The sequence below is a fragment of the Homo sapiens genome, chromosome 5 (assembly GCF_000001405.40).
Source record: "Homo sapiens chromosome 5, GRCh38.p14 Primary Assembly".
NCBI lineage: Eukaryota > Metazoa > Chordata > Mammalia > Primates > Hominidae > Homo > Homo sapiens.
In genome coordinates, this window is record NC_000005.10 from 1,121,149 (window position 1) to 1,134,938 (window position 13,790).

The 13,790-nt window shown below is 54.2% G+C and overlaps 1 protein-coding gene and 1 long non-coding RNA gene across 2 annotated transcripts in view, besides 3 other annotated features; both read right to left on the reverse strand.

Annotated features, from left to right (window-relative positions):
• Positions 1-13,790, reverse strand: part of SLC12A7 (solute carrier family 12 member 7) — a 105,516-nt gene that overhangs the window by 70,765 nt on the left and 20,961 nt on the right. The gene's annotated exons all lie outside the window — the stretch shown is intronic.
• Positions 7,112-7,645: an enhancer, noted in NCBI's record as "H3K4me1 hESC enhancer chr5:1128375-1128908 (GRCh37/hg19 assembly coordinates)". NCBI's record gives its function as "activates a minimal SCP1, AML or CMV promoter by ChIP-STARR-seq in primed H9 embryonic stem cells {active_cell/tissue: H9 hESC(primed)}" and the evidence as "EXISTENCE:reporter gene assay evidence [ECO:0000049][PMID:30033119]".
• Positions 8,180-8,713: an enhancer, noted in NCBI's record as "H3K4me1 hESC enhancer chr5:1129443-1129976 (GRCh37/hg19 assembly coordinates)". NCBI's record gives its function as "activates a minimal SCP1, AML or CMV promoter by ChIP-STARR-seq in naive H9 embryonic stem cells {active_cell/tissue: H9 hESC(naive)}" and the evidence as "EXISTENCE:reporter gene assay evidence [ECO:0000049][PMID:30033119]".
• LOC107986396 (uncharacterized) lies at positions 8,896-11,288 on the reverse strand. The gene is made up of 2 exons (XR_001742547.2): positions 9,380-11,288; positions 8,896-9,268 (listed from the first exon to the last, which is right to left on the reverse strand). It is a non-coding gene; the product is annotated as an uncharacterized LOC107986396 (long non-coding RNA).
• Positions 10,316-10,849: an enhancer, noted in NCBI's record as "H3K4me1 hESC enhancer chr5:1131579-1132112 (GRCh37/hg19 assembly coordinates)". NCBI's record gives its function as "activates a minimal SCP1, AML or CMV promoter by ChIP-STARR-seq in primed H9 embryonic stem cells {active_cell/tissue: H9 hESC(primed)}" and the evidence as "EXISTENCE:reporter gene assay evidence [ECO:0000049][PMID:30033119]".

Genomic DNA, 13,790 nt, shown 5'->3' on the forward strand with positions numbered 1-13,790 from the left:
CAGTGGGACAGCTGGGCTGTTTCTGTCACATTCTCTGTGAAGAAGAGTCCAGGCCAGCAAATATTTATCACCAAGTGTCTGGCCAGTGTGGTCCCCAGACACAGCTGTCTCCGTCCCAAGGCCTGGACTTTACACGTGGAGTTCCCTGTGTCGGTCCCCAGACAGCAGTGGTGCCACCTGGCAGGGGTTTGGCCTGTGGAGGGCTGTGCCCCTGAGGCCCACGGGAAAGCTCATGGACTTGCTGGGGGGCAGGGCCGACATCAGCGCCCGTGTGCGGATCCCCCTGCAGCCGAGTCCCAAGCAGGATCGTCACCCTCACATTCCTCTCCGGTGGAATGCTGCTGAGAGGTCCTTTAAGCATATGGCCTCAAGTAATCGTGGAAAGAGAAGGCAGCGGCATTGGTGGGCACAGGAAGGATCCATGCCACTTTGTGGGACCCAGAGAGGCAGTGTGACCTCAAGGGCTTACAGCCAGTGAGTGGCAGGCAGGGACAAGGGGGAGTTCCAGAAGCCTTAGGACATTCCTTGTCCCATGGATGACTGGAAGGACCCTTCCCAGATGGGAATCCCCTGCCCGCCCCAGCCATGCCCAGCACTGAGGGGTGAACCCTGGAAGCACCCATGGGTCAGCCCCGGAGCCGCGCAGTTTCTCCTAGGAAGGGGTAACTGTGCCCCAGACTCAGGAGGGGCTGTCCTGTCTTCCTGCAGGCCTTGGAGGCCACTGTCCCTGATGGGGTTGTGCAAGTGTGGGGGGCATGAGAGGGGGCCCCTTCATCAGCTCAGCGCCCACCCTAGGCCTGCTTCATGCCAGGCACACACTGCGCTGCAGGCACGAAGCGGGGATGGGTTCCCTGAGGCGGGGCTCTGCCTACTCCCAGACCCTTGTGGAGGCCCTGTCTCCCAGCCTCTCTGCCTTGTGCCCCGGGCCCACGGCAACGCAGCCCCCATTCCAGAGAGCCAGACCCTCCAGCTCTCAAGGGAACAGCAGGGAAGACAGGGATGGTGTGGGGGGACACTGTCCTTGGGAACTTTCCCTGCCCCCACCGCCTGCCCTTGCGCATGGGCCTCCCTAGAAACGTGTCACCCCAACCCTTGAGAAACCAGAACCCCCGGCAGGGCTGTGCGAGGCGGGGTGGGATTTTGGGGGTGTCAGAATCTCACCAGAATCCGGGCAGTGGGGGGATGAAAATTCTGGCTGCCCAGCACAGCCCCCGCCACTGCGCTTGGCACCTCAAGGGGCCTGGGTTCTCAACACCAGCTCAGATAACTGGTAAAAATGTTTGTTAGTTTTAACTTTGCTTTTTCCTTTTTCTAAAAAAATCCATTTTATTTAATTGTAGTAAAATAATACATAAAATTGCCATTTTCACCATCTTTAAGTGTCCGACGGACGAACCGCATTCCCACAGCTGTGCGTCCACCTTCACCACCGGTCTCCAGAGTCCTCCCAAACTGAAGGCCTCTCCCCAGCCTGGCACCTGCCATTCTGCGTTCGGTCTCTACAGATCTGGGAACTCCAGGGACCTCCCAGGAGAGGATCAGACAGGGCCCCGCGGCATGACGTCCACACAGCTCCTTGGTGCTGTAGCCCGTGCCAGCATCTCTTTCATTTTCTCGGCTGTCGAGTGTCCACTGTCTGGACGGGCACGTTTTGTTCACCCACTCATGTGCTGATGGACACGAGGGTTGCTATTCCCCCTATGTAGTGATGGGTAACAACTTCAAAGGTATGTATCTAAGTAAAAATGAAAATGTGTAAAATGTGTGAAGCGCCCCACGTGCGCACGCACAAGCCCTCTGGGAGGAGCTGGGGGCGTCGCCCTGGCTGCCTGGGGGCGCGGGGCCTGACCTTCTGCCTACGCTCCTCTGTCCTGTTACCTGGGGTGGCTACGCCAGCATCATCTGGCCAAAAATACCTCCTAATCGTTCTGGCTGAGCCGCTGCCACTGCCACTGCCCAAGATAAGCAGGGCACGCTCGGGCTCCCGGCAGTGATTTCTGTCCTATTTTTACACTTGGCTCAGATAAGGTCTCGGGTGGCCTGTGCCCAAGGTCACTCTGTGGGGCCCCAGGGAGGCAGTGGCTTGCCCTGGGTCCACATTCCCTCTGGGGAAGTGGGTTCTGGGAGCCGCATAGAGAGGCATGCTGGGCGTGCAGAGCAGGAGTGGTCGCAGGGACCCCGGCTCCGAGGAGGGGAGGGGGCCACTCCTGGGCCCTTGAACCCTTGGGTCCCAGCACCTGCAAGCACAGCCCTGCCAGGTAACACCACCAACTCCTGGAGGCGCACTAGAGCTCACATCTAGGGTTCCTGGCAAAAGAACCCCCAGATAAATGAGTTAAGCTGTCTAGCCTCCTCCCTGCCAAAGACCCCCAGATAAATGAATAAAGCTGCCCAGCCTGGCCCCGCCGGCCCACTGAGGGGTAGCAGCTCAGCAAGGCAATGAGGCCGGCCAGAGACCGCCGCACAGAAGTGGGCGTTCCCCGCTGAGGGGCCGGGGGCCGCGGTCAGCTTCTCTGAGTGTCCTGGTCTTGGAGGACACACGTCACGTGTGTTGGCCAAGGAGCCGGGATCGGGGCCTCCATCAAACAGTGTTGCAAACTGGTAGGGCATATCCTGAAGGTTTAAGCTTCAAATTTTGCTTGGCAAACTGAACCCAAATCCACCTCTCTTTCTTGACTTTCTTCGTTTGTTTCATTAAGAGAAGAGAGAAGAGGAAACATGTTTGAGTAACAGTTTCTGAGATAACTCTCTTGGTCTAATTGCCTCATTGAAACCTTAAATATTTGGCTTGCATCACGAGGTCAGGCCAATACGCTACTAAATTCATCGCTCTCAGTGGAGAATGACTTATCTGTGCAAATACCACAAGTCATCAATTTCTATTTTCTCAGGGTGATAAGTTAAAAATACATTTAAAAAATAAGCTTTGATTGCTTTTGAAGGACAGCAACCTCCATGGACCTCGCAATGCAAAACCCACAGCTGACAGCAGGTCAATCTGCTCCAACAACTAGCAACAGCTAGATTCGTCCTCAGGGACCCACTTCACAGGCCAGAGATCTTCAGCATAGAGATCAGCGCCCACAAGCCAAGAGAAAAGTCTTTCAAAGACCACCTAATCCCTCACTGTTTTCGAGGAGAAAAGGAATGCACATTTAAAAAACAAAAACCAAAAAGATTTGCAGCTCCAGCGCCTGGTCATGAGGAAGTAGCTGCGTGCAGTGGTCAAAGAAAACACAGAGGACAGAAGACCATGGGAGGGTGCTTCCAAAGTACAGAGAAACAGCTGCAGCCTCGACCTCTGCGCCAGCAAACACTGTCTTCAAAAATGAAGGCAAAATCAAGACATTTCCAGACCAACGAAAACTGTGAGGATTTATCCCAAGTGGAAGGAAAATGGTTCCTGATGGAAACACCGAAATCCAGAGCTCAGAGAACACGGACTGGCGGGGCAGGCGGCAGAGCCTTGCGGCGCTGGACACATTGAACACTCAGCGCCCAGCACAGGGGAGGGAGGCCCTGGAGTCCCTGATCGCAGCAGACCTGGACCATCAAGGGCATCTGTGCAGGGCAGACACTGGGGCGACGACCGTGAGAACAGCAGAACACACAGCTAGCAAGCGAACACAGGGAGAAAACGGAGTAATAAAAAAAGTGTTTAATCCAAAATAATCAAAAGAAAAGACACCAGTGCTTGCACTAACCGGAGCGAGGCGGCCGGCCAGACCTCAAATCTCACACCCTGATGACGCCCCGCTTCAGCAAAATCCAGAGAACTGGAGGAGAAACAGACACTACTCCAGGGAACAGCTAGAGATTTCAAGACACCTCGCCCCATAACTGGTAAAACAAATCACTGGAGAGAAAGAAGATTTGAACAACCCATAAGCAAGACTGACCTAATTAATGGTCAGCTATGTGGAAATGCACCCAGCCACTGCCCGGCCCCTACTCCACACCACAGGGTTGAGAGAGGAGCTCTGACAGCTGGGAATGGAGCACAGAGCAGCTGTGGAAAGATAATGGAAAATCCCCCGGGGCCTGGGAACTGCAGCACATGGAGAAACCCACGTGCTGAAGAGTGAGCCGTGATCGGAATGAGATAATGTTTTAAACGAAAGTGTGTGTGTGTGTGTGTGTGTGTGTGAATTCTTTTTAATTCTAAGACTTTCATACAGAAACATCACTTCATGGGTAAAAGCAAGTAAAGTCAAACGGCACACTTTTTAAGTTTATTTTAGTATTTTTATGCTGAATAGTGCATAATAATGGTATTTTAGTATTTTCATTGAATCTGCAGGCGTGTCAACATGTTAGAAATTGTACTGCGGAAAATGTCACTGCTCTCCAAACTCCAAAACAGTGGTTTTGGAAAGTTTATCTAGGGTGGGAGACTATTCTAATTTATTTATAACTTTGACTAATTGGATCCCAATTACTTTGTATAAATGGTAAAATTTGAAATATATCAAACATGGTTAAAATGTCTACCTGGGCCGGGCACAGTGGCTCATGCCTGTAATCCCAGCATTTTGGGAGGCCGAGGCGAGCAGATCACCTGAGGCCAGGAGTTTGAGATCAGCCTGGCCCACATGGTGAAACCCCATCTCTACTAAATATACACAAATTAGCCAGGCATGGTGGCATGTGCCTGTAATCCCAGCTACTCAGGAGACTGAGACAGGAGAATCACTTGAACCTGGGAGGCGGAAGTTGCAGGGAGCTGAGATCACATCACTGCACTCTAGCCTGACAACAGTGCCAGGCCCTGCCTCAAAAAAAAAAAAAAAAAAAAGTCTGTCTGCTTGCATTGTTATATCTTCATTAATTTAATTGTTAATGTTTCCAAAAAGTCACTCATGTTATTAAGCTAATTCTTAGCAATATACACATAGTATATTTACACAATATTAACCCATGAATTCATCTATTCTTTTTATTTTATTTTATTATTTTTTGAGACAGAGTCCCACTCCAGGCTGGATGCAGTGGTATGATCTCAGCTCACTGCAGCCTCCACCTCCCAGGTTCAAGTGATTCTCGTGTCTCAGCCTCCCAAGTAGCTGACAGCTGGGATTACAGGCATGGGCCACCATGCCCGGCTAATTTTCTATATTTTTAGTAGAGACAGGGTTTCACCATGTTGGCCAGGCTGGTCTTGAACTCCTGGCCTCAGGTAATCTGATCGCCTCGGCCTCCCAAAGTGCTGGGATTACAGGCGTGAGCCACTGCACCCAGCCCCTACCTATTCTTTTTAATGTTTAATATAATTGAGATGTTACTCACTTTTTAAAACATTTTAAATTGTTTAGTTTTTTTCTTCTGATTTGTTTTTGGTTTTTGTTTTGTGTTTTAAGTTTCAGAGGTACATATTCACGTTTATTACACAAGTAAATTTGTGTCATGGGGTTTGTTGTACAGATTATTTCATTACTCAGGTATTAAACCTAGTACCCATTAGTTATCTTTCCTGATCCTTCCCCTCCTCCCACTCTCTGCCCTCAAGTGGGCCCCAGGCTGTGTTGTTTCCCTCTATGTGTCCATGCGTTCTCATCGTTTAGCTCCCACTTATAAGTGAGAACATGCTGTATTTAGTTTTCTGTCGAACTAAATTATAATGAAAATACAACCTATCGAAACCATAAGATGCAGCTGAAACCGTGCTTAAGGGACGAGTCACCACTGTAGATCCTGCAAAAGTATAAAGGTAGTGGAGTGGGTTGAGCTGGGCTTCCCCAGAAGGATATGTTGAAGTTCTAACACAGGTACCTGTGAATGTCCTGACTGGGAGGTGGCTCCTTGCAGTTGGGACCACATCATGAAGATGAGGTCATCCTGGAGTAGGGTGTGGGCTCTCAATCCAATGACTGATGTCTTTTTTTTTTTAGACGAAGTCTTGCTTTGTTGCCAGGCTGAAGTGCAGTGGCGCAATCTCGGCTCACTGCAACCTCCACCGCCCAGGTTCAAGTGATTCTCCTGCCTCAGCCTCCCAAGTAGCTGGGACTACAGGCACACGCCACCACGCCCAGCTAATTTTTGTATTTTTAGTAGAGACGGGGTTTCACTGTGTTGACCAGGATAGTCTCGATCTCTTGACTTCGTGATCCACCTGCCTTGGCCTCCCAAAGTGCTGGGATTACAGGCGTGAGCCACCACGCCTGGCCGACTGATGTCCTTATATGGACAGCTTTGAGGCCACAGAGGAGAGGCAAAAGGCAAGGGCCACAGAGATGGAGGCAGAGGCTGAGGCGATGGGGCCACAGACCCAGGGATGCCTGGAGCCGCAGAAGTTGGAAGGGGCAGGAAGGAGCCTCTTTTAGAGCCTCCGGAGGGCGTGCAGCCCTGCCCACACCTGGACTTCAGATTTCCTTTCTCCACCACTGAGAAGGCAGATCTGTGAAGCCACAGTGTGTGGTGATCACAGCAGTCCGAGGAAACTGATGGATATACAAATACCACAGATAACTCTGTGATAACGATCTTGTAAATGGAGATAAAATAGACACATTCTCCAAAATCCATACAAAAAGAAACAGAAGCTCTGAATAGTACTATGTCTCATGAAGAAATTAAATCCTTGATTTAACTTTGCCCCCCTCCTGCACATAAAACCTTCAGGGCCACACAGACTCACTGGTAAACTTTTCCAAACACTGAAGGAAGAAATAATACCAGTTACATTGAAGTCTTTCAGAGAATTTTAAAAAAGAAGTAATTTTGCACATCTCCTGTTATCAAATTAGCACTTGTCATCAAGGAAGGGAAGATAAAGCACGAGGAGATGCCCACACCCCAGGAAAGTGTCCCAAGAGTGGCTCAGATTCTCCAGGGCTGCGACGTCCTGGTTTTCATCTGGGGGTGGTGACAGGCGCGTGATCTCTGGTTATTCCAGAAGCAGTGAATGTAGGATGTGTGTCATTTAGCTTCTCACGCCATGCACTGGGGCAAGTTCACTGAGGAAACAGATCTCATCCTTAAGGCAGGCTGGGAGTGGGCGTGGCTGGGAGGTGGGTGCCTGAGGAACACTCTCGCCCCTTCCCCTGCACCTGTGGTCTCAACCTGGCGGGAAGTCCGCTCCAGCTCCTGTGGGACCAGGGTTGCTGGATCCAAGTTGCCAGGTAAACTCCCGCTGATCTGCAGCACAAGAGCCAAATCCCAGGACGAGCTCTCACGGAGCAGTCAGGCCCAGTGGAAACTGGTGGCCTCGCTCCAGGAAATGAAGCCAGACTCAGACAAACAAAAGCCACCAGCAATGCATGGAGGCAGGATGGGACATCTCACGCGGACCCAGTGACCCTGGAGCATGCCTGGGTACAGATGGAGCCCCCAACAGGGGTTTCCTTCCTCATGTGGTTGATGGAAGGTTCTAGAATTCATCTTCTCATAGGGAGGAAAAGTGCTGCCCAGCCCCCAACACTCTGAGACCTCTGGGGCTCAGTAAATATTTGATAAACAACAGGCTCAGCAGGTGCGGTGGCTAGTGAGACTGGTACAGACCAGGTGGCCCATGGGTATTGGGTCTGCCCTGTGACCACCAGTCCTGACAGGCTGCAGCGGAGCATGTGTGCACGTGTGTGCATGTATGTGTGCGTGTGTGTGTGCATGCGTGCACACCAATGGGAGTGGCCCCAAGTGCCTGCCTGGTCTCTACACGGCTTCCAGCCTTTTCCTAGAATGGATCACATGTTTGCATACACACATATGTGCACACACATGCAGAAACCAGACCCACTCCCACCATCCACCCACACAAGCTGGACCCTCAGTCACGCGGCTCCCTGCCACGTGCTCCATCCCCATGTGCGTCCAACACACCTGCCAGCTCTGCTTTCAGCTTTCCCTGATGGCCAAGCATACCCCGCTGCCCCTGCAAGGCTTGGGAGCACTCCTGGGATCCCCTGCAAGGCTTGGGAGCACCCCTGGGATCCCAAGTCTGATGGCCTCTAGAAGTCCCTCTCCTCAAACCTCGGTCACAGCTGCTGCCTAGGGCCTGCCAGGCCAGGGGGACAGCCACGTCTCTCCTAGACACACGAGGACACCCCTCCAAGAGGCCTCCCTCAGCCAGCCGCCACTGCTGCCGGCCCCTCTGTGCATCCCCAAGGGCTGAGCTGTTGCAGGGTACAACGCCTCCTGGCTCCAAGTGAAAGTCGGAGGTGGGCAGGACGTTCAGGTAACACCCCCACCTCCGAAGTCCAGTCTCACAGAGCCTTAGCAGCCACCCAAGGCAAGGAGGTGGCCATGGGCCACCAGGAGTGTCCCGAGCATCCCAGGCCCACAAGGGCCAGAGAAAGTTCCGGGCTTCCCCTAGCGTAAGGGACAGAACCAGGCGCCCTCCCCTCCTGGCCCCCTCAGCTTTCCTGTGACGCCCAGGACCAGGACCAGGACCAGGGAAACCACAGCGTCCCAGGCGACAGGGTGGAGGGCGGCTCCAGGAGCCCAGCTGGGGCATCGGCCAACCCCCGAGAGACACACTTGCTCAGGCATCCCTGGCAAGGTTTCCAAAGCCCTCACGCGGATGAACACGGGAACACCTGGGGCACCCACTGTTTCACGGAAAAAGTCACAGGGGTCACCCTGATGGGATGTAATTTCTGGATATGATTAAACAGGAAGAAAAGATCCCGGCTGAGATTACCGTTCAGAAGCACCTTGGAGCCGGGCTCTCGACACTGCTGACCCGAAACCTGGTGATTCAAGAGGAAAAGAACGCCCTGCTGCCGTCAGAGCTGGAAACTGCACAGCCCATTGTGTCCTGGGCGTGAAGCCATCACCTGACTCCCAGGTGAGGAGCCAGAGGGTCAGGGGTCAGAGCTCAAGGGACGCCCTGGCCAGCTGGGGCAGTCAAAGCTACCTCTGCTTCTTCCCCTGAAAGAGGAAGTTTAGATACCCAAGAAGTTTTGATATCTCCTCCACGACTTTACTTCTGGATGTGGTTCAGAAAAATCTGCGGAAAATCACCCAGAATTGCACCCGTTTGGTTTACAGGAGTATTAGCTGTGGGGGCCCCTTTTCCACCACCCCCATCAAGCAGCCTCCCGGGCAGCCCAGGACCCTCCAGAATCTTCCAGAAGCCGCACCACTCGCTTCAGTCGTAACCTGCAGGACCCCACCGGGCGAGGCTGGCTGGGAGGAGGCACTCTCAGGACAAGGGACCTGGGCAGGCACCTCCTGTCTCCGCTCAACACCCAGCGAGGACAGGAGGACCCAGGGTGCACCTGCATCTGCGTCTGGGCAGAGGAGCAAAGACCTGGCCTTCCCAGAGCTTGAGCTGTGGGAGGAAGAGAGGCTGAATGAAAGCCCCGCCCCCACCCCACCCCAGGAGAGGCCACCTGGGGCCTCCCACAGCCCTGCCCACGGCTGCACACGCGTGTCCCCTCACCTCCTTAGCCAGGGCGGCTGCCCGCGCAGGTCCCCTCACCTCCTTAGCCAGGGCGGCTGCCCGCGCAGGTCCCCTCACCTCCTTAGCCAGGGTGGGGGCAGCAGGGAGGGAGGGCGTGCTGCATTCTTCCCTGGGCCTGCAGGTGCACCTGTGCCTGCCCAGAGGGAGCAGCGGGAGCTTCCAGCAGACACACCTGGACAGGTGCACAGAGCTCCTGCCAGGGAAACCCAGCACAGACGCAGGTGGGCGGGTGGTGGGAGGGTGGCAGAAGCGGAAAGAGGAGGAGGCTGAGCTCAGCACAGCCCATGCAGTCTCCTTCCGGCCAAGGGGAGCGGCTGGGCCAGTCTGAGCCGGGAGGCAGCTCAGGGAGTAAGCCCTGGGGACAACATTGGAGTAGCACAGGGTTCCCTGACAGAACCTCACGTCGGAGGGTGGTCTGAGGGCTGCTGGGGGCCCACCTAGGAGATGGGGTCCCAGGACACAGAACAGGGAGGGGGTGGTGTTTCCAGGGTGAGGCCTGGGGGAGGGTAGCAAGGCCTGGACTAGGAGATGGAGGCCTAATCAAAGCAAAACAGAGACTCAGAGCTCAGCGCCTGTATTCGCAGGGACACACAGGGACTCACAGGGACGTCCCGGATCGCTAGGGGACTCACGGGGACACGTGGGGACACGCTCGGACTCACGGGGACTTGCAGGGGCCCATGGGGATGTGCAGGGACACCGTCCCTCCCGGCCGTCCTGCTCCTTGCCAAGAGTCACCCAGAGGCTGGGGCCTGGCACCACTTGCAGACAGGGGCATTCCTGGGCCCCTCCTTTTGGCACCTCAGCCTCAGCAGCTGCTGAAGGGTGTGGGGGAGGGAGCCGGTATTGGTGCAACAGGCAGATGGTTCCAGAAACTCAGGATTCTACACAATCCTAGCACCTGAGGCACAGTCCTGCACGGCCGCCACGCTGTCGGAAGCAGGCACCGGCCCTGGTGGTCAACACAAGCCCTGAGGACCTCCCAGAGGGCATGCTCCGGGCAACCTGCCAGGACCACCTCTCCTGCCTGGTGTTGGGGGCCTCACCTGACCTCTCCGGGTCCCTAACCAGGCGCTAGGGCTGCCTCCCTTGGGGCCCCCAGAATCCACCCTGGAACGGCTGCTGGGACTGAGACCCTGAGTCAGGCCAATCCCCAGAGCCTTGCCTAGCCATGGCTTGTCTGGGGTGGGTTCCCAGATCCTCGTCCAGGACACGGGAAAGGGGCTCCTTTTGTGGCCTGTGCTGTGGAAGGGCTCAGTAAGCAAGGTGATCCTCCTGGGAGGTAGGGCAATGCCTGCCAGGAGCAGCTTCCCAGGTGGGGCCCAGCGCCCTGGCTGTGTACACGGCAAAGCTCACTGCCCCTGGTTCTGTCAGGGGCGTTTGAACCAGAGTGACTCCATCTTGAACAGGGGCTGGGTCTGATGAGGCTGAGGCCTGCTGCGCTGCATTCCCAGGAGCTTAGGGATTCTCAGTCACAAGGTGAGACGGGACGACCGCGCAAGAGGCAGGTCGTTAAAACCTTATTAATAAAACAAGTTGTGGTCAGGAAGCCATCCAATACCCAGTACCCACCAAAACCAAGGCGGCATGAAAGTGACCTCTGGTTGTCCTCACTGCTCATTACACGCTAATTCGAATGCATTAGCATCTAAGAGACACTCCTACCAGCACGGTGGCAGTTTACAGAGGCCACGGCAACGTCGGGAAGCTACCCTCTATGGCCTAAAAAGGGGAGGAGCCCACAGTTCTGGGAATTTTGCACCCCTTTCCTGGAAAATTCATGAAAAATCCACCCCTTGTTCAGCGCATAATGAAGAAGTAACAGTAAGTGTCCTTGGTCGGGGAGCCATTCTTCATCCCTTCACTTTCTTAATAAACTTACTTTCACTTTATACTCTATGGACTCACCTCCAATTCTTTCTTGTGTGAGGTCCAAGAACCTTCTCTTGGGGGTCGTCTGGATTGGGGCCCCTTTCTGGTAACAGTTCTTTTTTCTTTTCTTTTTTGAACTAACACCCGGGCTGTTTTCTGTCCCTTCCCTTCCAGGGGGCCCTGACTCATGAAGAACCCTTGCCTGCCTTCTGGACCATTCCAGGGCCAGCTTTCCCCCTCAGCTTCCTGAGATCATCCTAATGTCCCCAGAACATCTCCTTGGCGTGCTCCGGCCCCTCCTAAGAGGCGTGTGCCCAGCTTGCTTCCCTCTGGAGCCTTGGGGCCAGCACCGCCTCCCAAGAACTGCACTGCAGTGTCCATGGCCAAAGGACCTGGTAGGGCTGCCGGATAAGACACGGGCACTCGGCCCAGCACAAATTTCAGATAAATGATGAATTTTATTTTGATGTAGTGTGACCCAAATATTGCTTCTACTAAGAATTTATTTTTGAGACAGTCTCGCTCTGTCATCTAGGCTGGGGTGCAGGGGCGTGATCTTGGATCTTGGCTCACTGCAACCTCTGCCTCCTGGGTTCAAGTGATTCTCCTGCCTCAACCTCCCAAGTAGCTGGGATTACAGGCGTGCGTCACCACACACAGCTAATTTTTGTATTTTTGGTAGACGGAGTTTCACCATGTTGGCCAGGCTGGTCTCGAACTCCCAACTTCAAGTGATCTGCCAGGCTTGGCTTCCCAAAGTGCTGAGATTACAGACATGAGCCACCGCACCCAGCTGCTTCTACTAAGAATTATTTGTGTTAGTTTGAAACAAATTTAACCAGGCGCCCTGCGCTGGGCTAATGGCTGGGAGTCGCACATGTGGGCAAGAGCTCCCCCCAACCCCCCGACCTCCTCAGGATCTTCAGACCCCAGCTTGAATCCCGTCAGCCCCACCTCCTCCAGGAGTGGAGGATTTTCAAATGCACACAGCTCCCTGGAAACCCTGCCCTGCTGGTCCTGGGGGAGAGGGCTGGGTGAGGTGGGGGCAGAGCCATGAGGTGCCTGTTCTTTCCGTCGACAGGACTTAAGGCAAGAGATGCGAGGGGGACCCCACACAGTGCTGTCTGGGGTTGACTGTGGGTGGAGAGAACAATCCCAAATACTGGTAGGCCGCTGTGGCTGCTGCTGACGCTGACGCTTGCTGGCCGGCATGCTTGCTGGGTGTCATCCCAAAGCACTGTCAGAGACGGGAGGCTGGACGTGCGCCCCTCGGTGAGAACTTCCTCTATGTGTGGAGTTTCGGGGTATGAACATCTGCTGCTGAATCTCAGAGGCTGAGGTTGGGGGCAGCTCAGGAACCCCCTGGGGTTCTCAGACCCTGTAAATAGCTTTCCCAGTAATCCCAGGGGAGCCAAGTTATTTCCCTGACCAACCGAGGCAGCAACACCAGAGAGGGTTGTGTGGAGCTGCAGCTGGAGGTGGGGGTGGGCTCTTGTTCTAACCGCTGCATGGCCTTCCTCCCTGAACTTTCCAGCACGTACACCATGGAGAGAGGGAGCTTGATTGTGCCCACAAGCCTGCTCAGCCCAGCTAGTCTCCCTGGCCCACCACAGACCCACCCCAGACAGCCAGAGCCTAGTACAAGCCCAGCCTCCCCTTTAAAAGCCTCCCGGCTGATTCTCATGTTGTGAGAGAACTGGGTGGCTCTCCCAGCTCCAGCTCTGCAATTCTGGGACAGCTACGTGTTTCTAGTGAGTTAAAAAACTTGGCTGGGCGCGGTGGCTCATGCCTGTAATCCCAGCACTTTTGGAGGCCAAGGTGGGCGGATCACCTGAGGTCAGGAGTTCGAGACCAGCCTGGCCAACATGATGAAACCCCGTCTCTACTAAAAATACAAAAATCAGCCGGGTGTGGTGGCACACATCTATAATCCCAGCTACTGGAGAGGCTGAGGCAGGAGAATCACTTGAACCCGGGAGGCAGAGGTTATAGTGAGCTGAGATCATGCCATTTCACTTCAGCCTGGGCAATAAGAGCAAAATTCTGTTTAAAAAAAAAAAATTTGAACACCCATGAAGACGGCTACTATCAAAACAGGAGAAAATGAATGCTGTAAGAATGTGAAAATACGGGGCCCTTGTCTTCTACCGGTGGGAGTGTAAATTGGTACAGTCCATACGGAAACAGAACGGCAGTTCCTGAAAAAGTTAATAGAATGACCCTCTGACCCAGCAATTTCACTTCTGCACGTGCTATAAAGAACTGAAAGCAGGGACTCGAACAGATATTTGCACACCCGTGATTAGAGCAGCACTACCCACAACAGCCAGGTGGCAGAATCAGCCCGAGAGGTGGTGAGCAGATAAAGCCATGAACAAAACAAGTCGGTCCACACAGCGGGATGTTGTTCCACCTTAAAAAAGAAGGGCACGGCCAGGCGCGGTGGCTCATCCCTGTAACCCCAGCACTTTGGGAGGCTGAGATGGGCAGATTACCAGGAGTTCGAGACCAGCCTGGC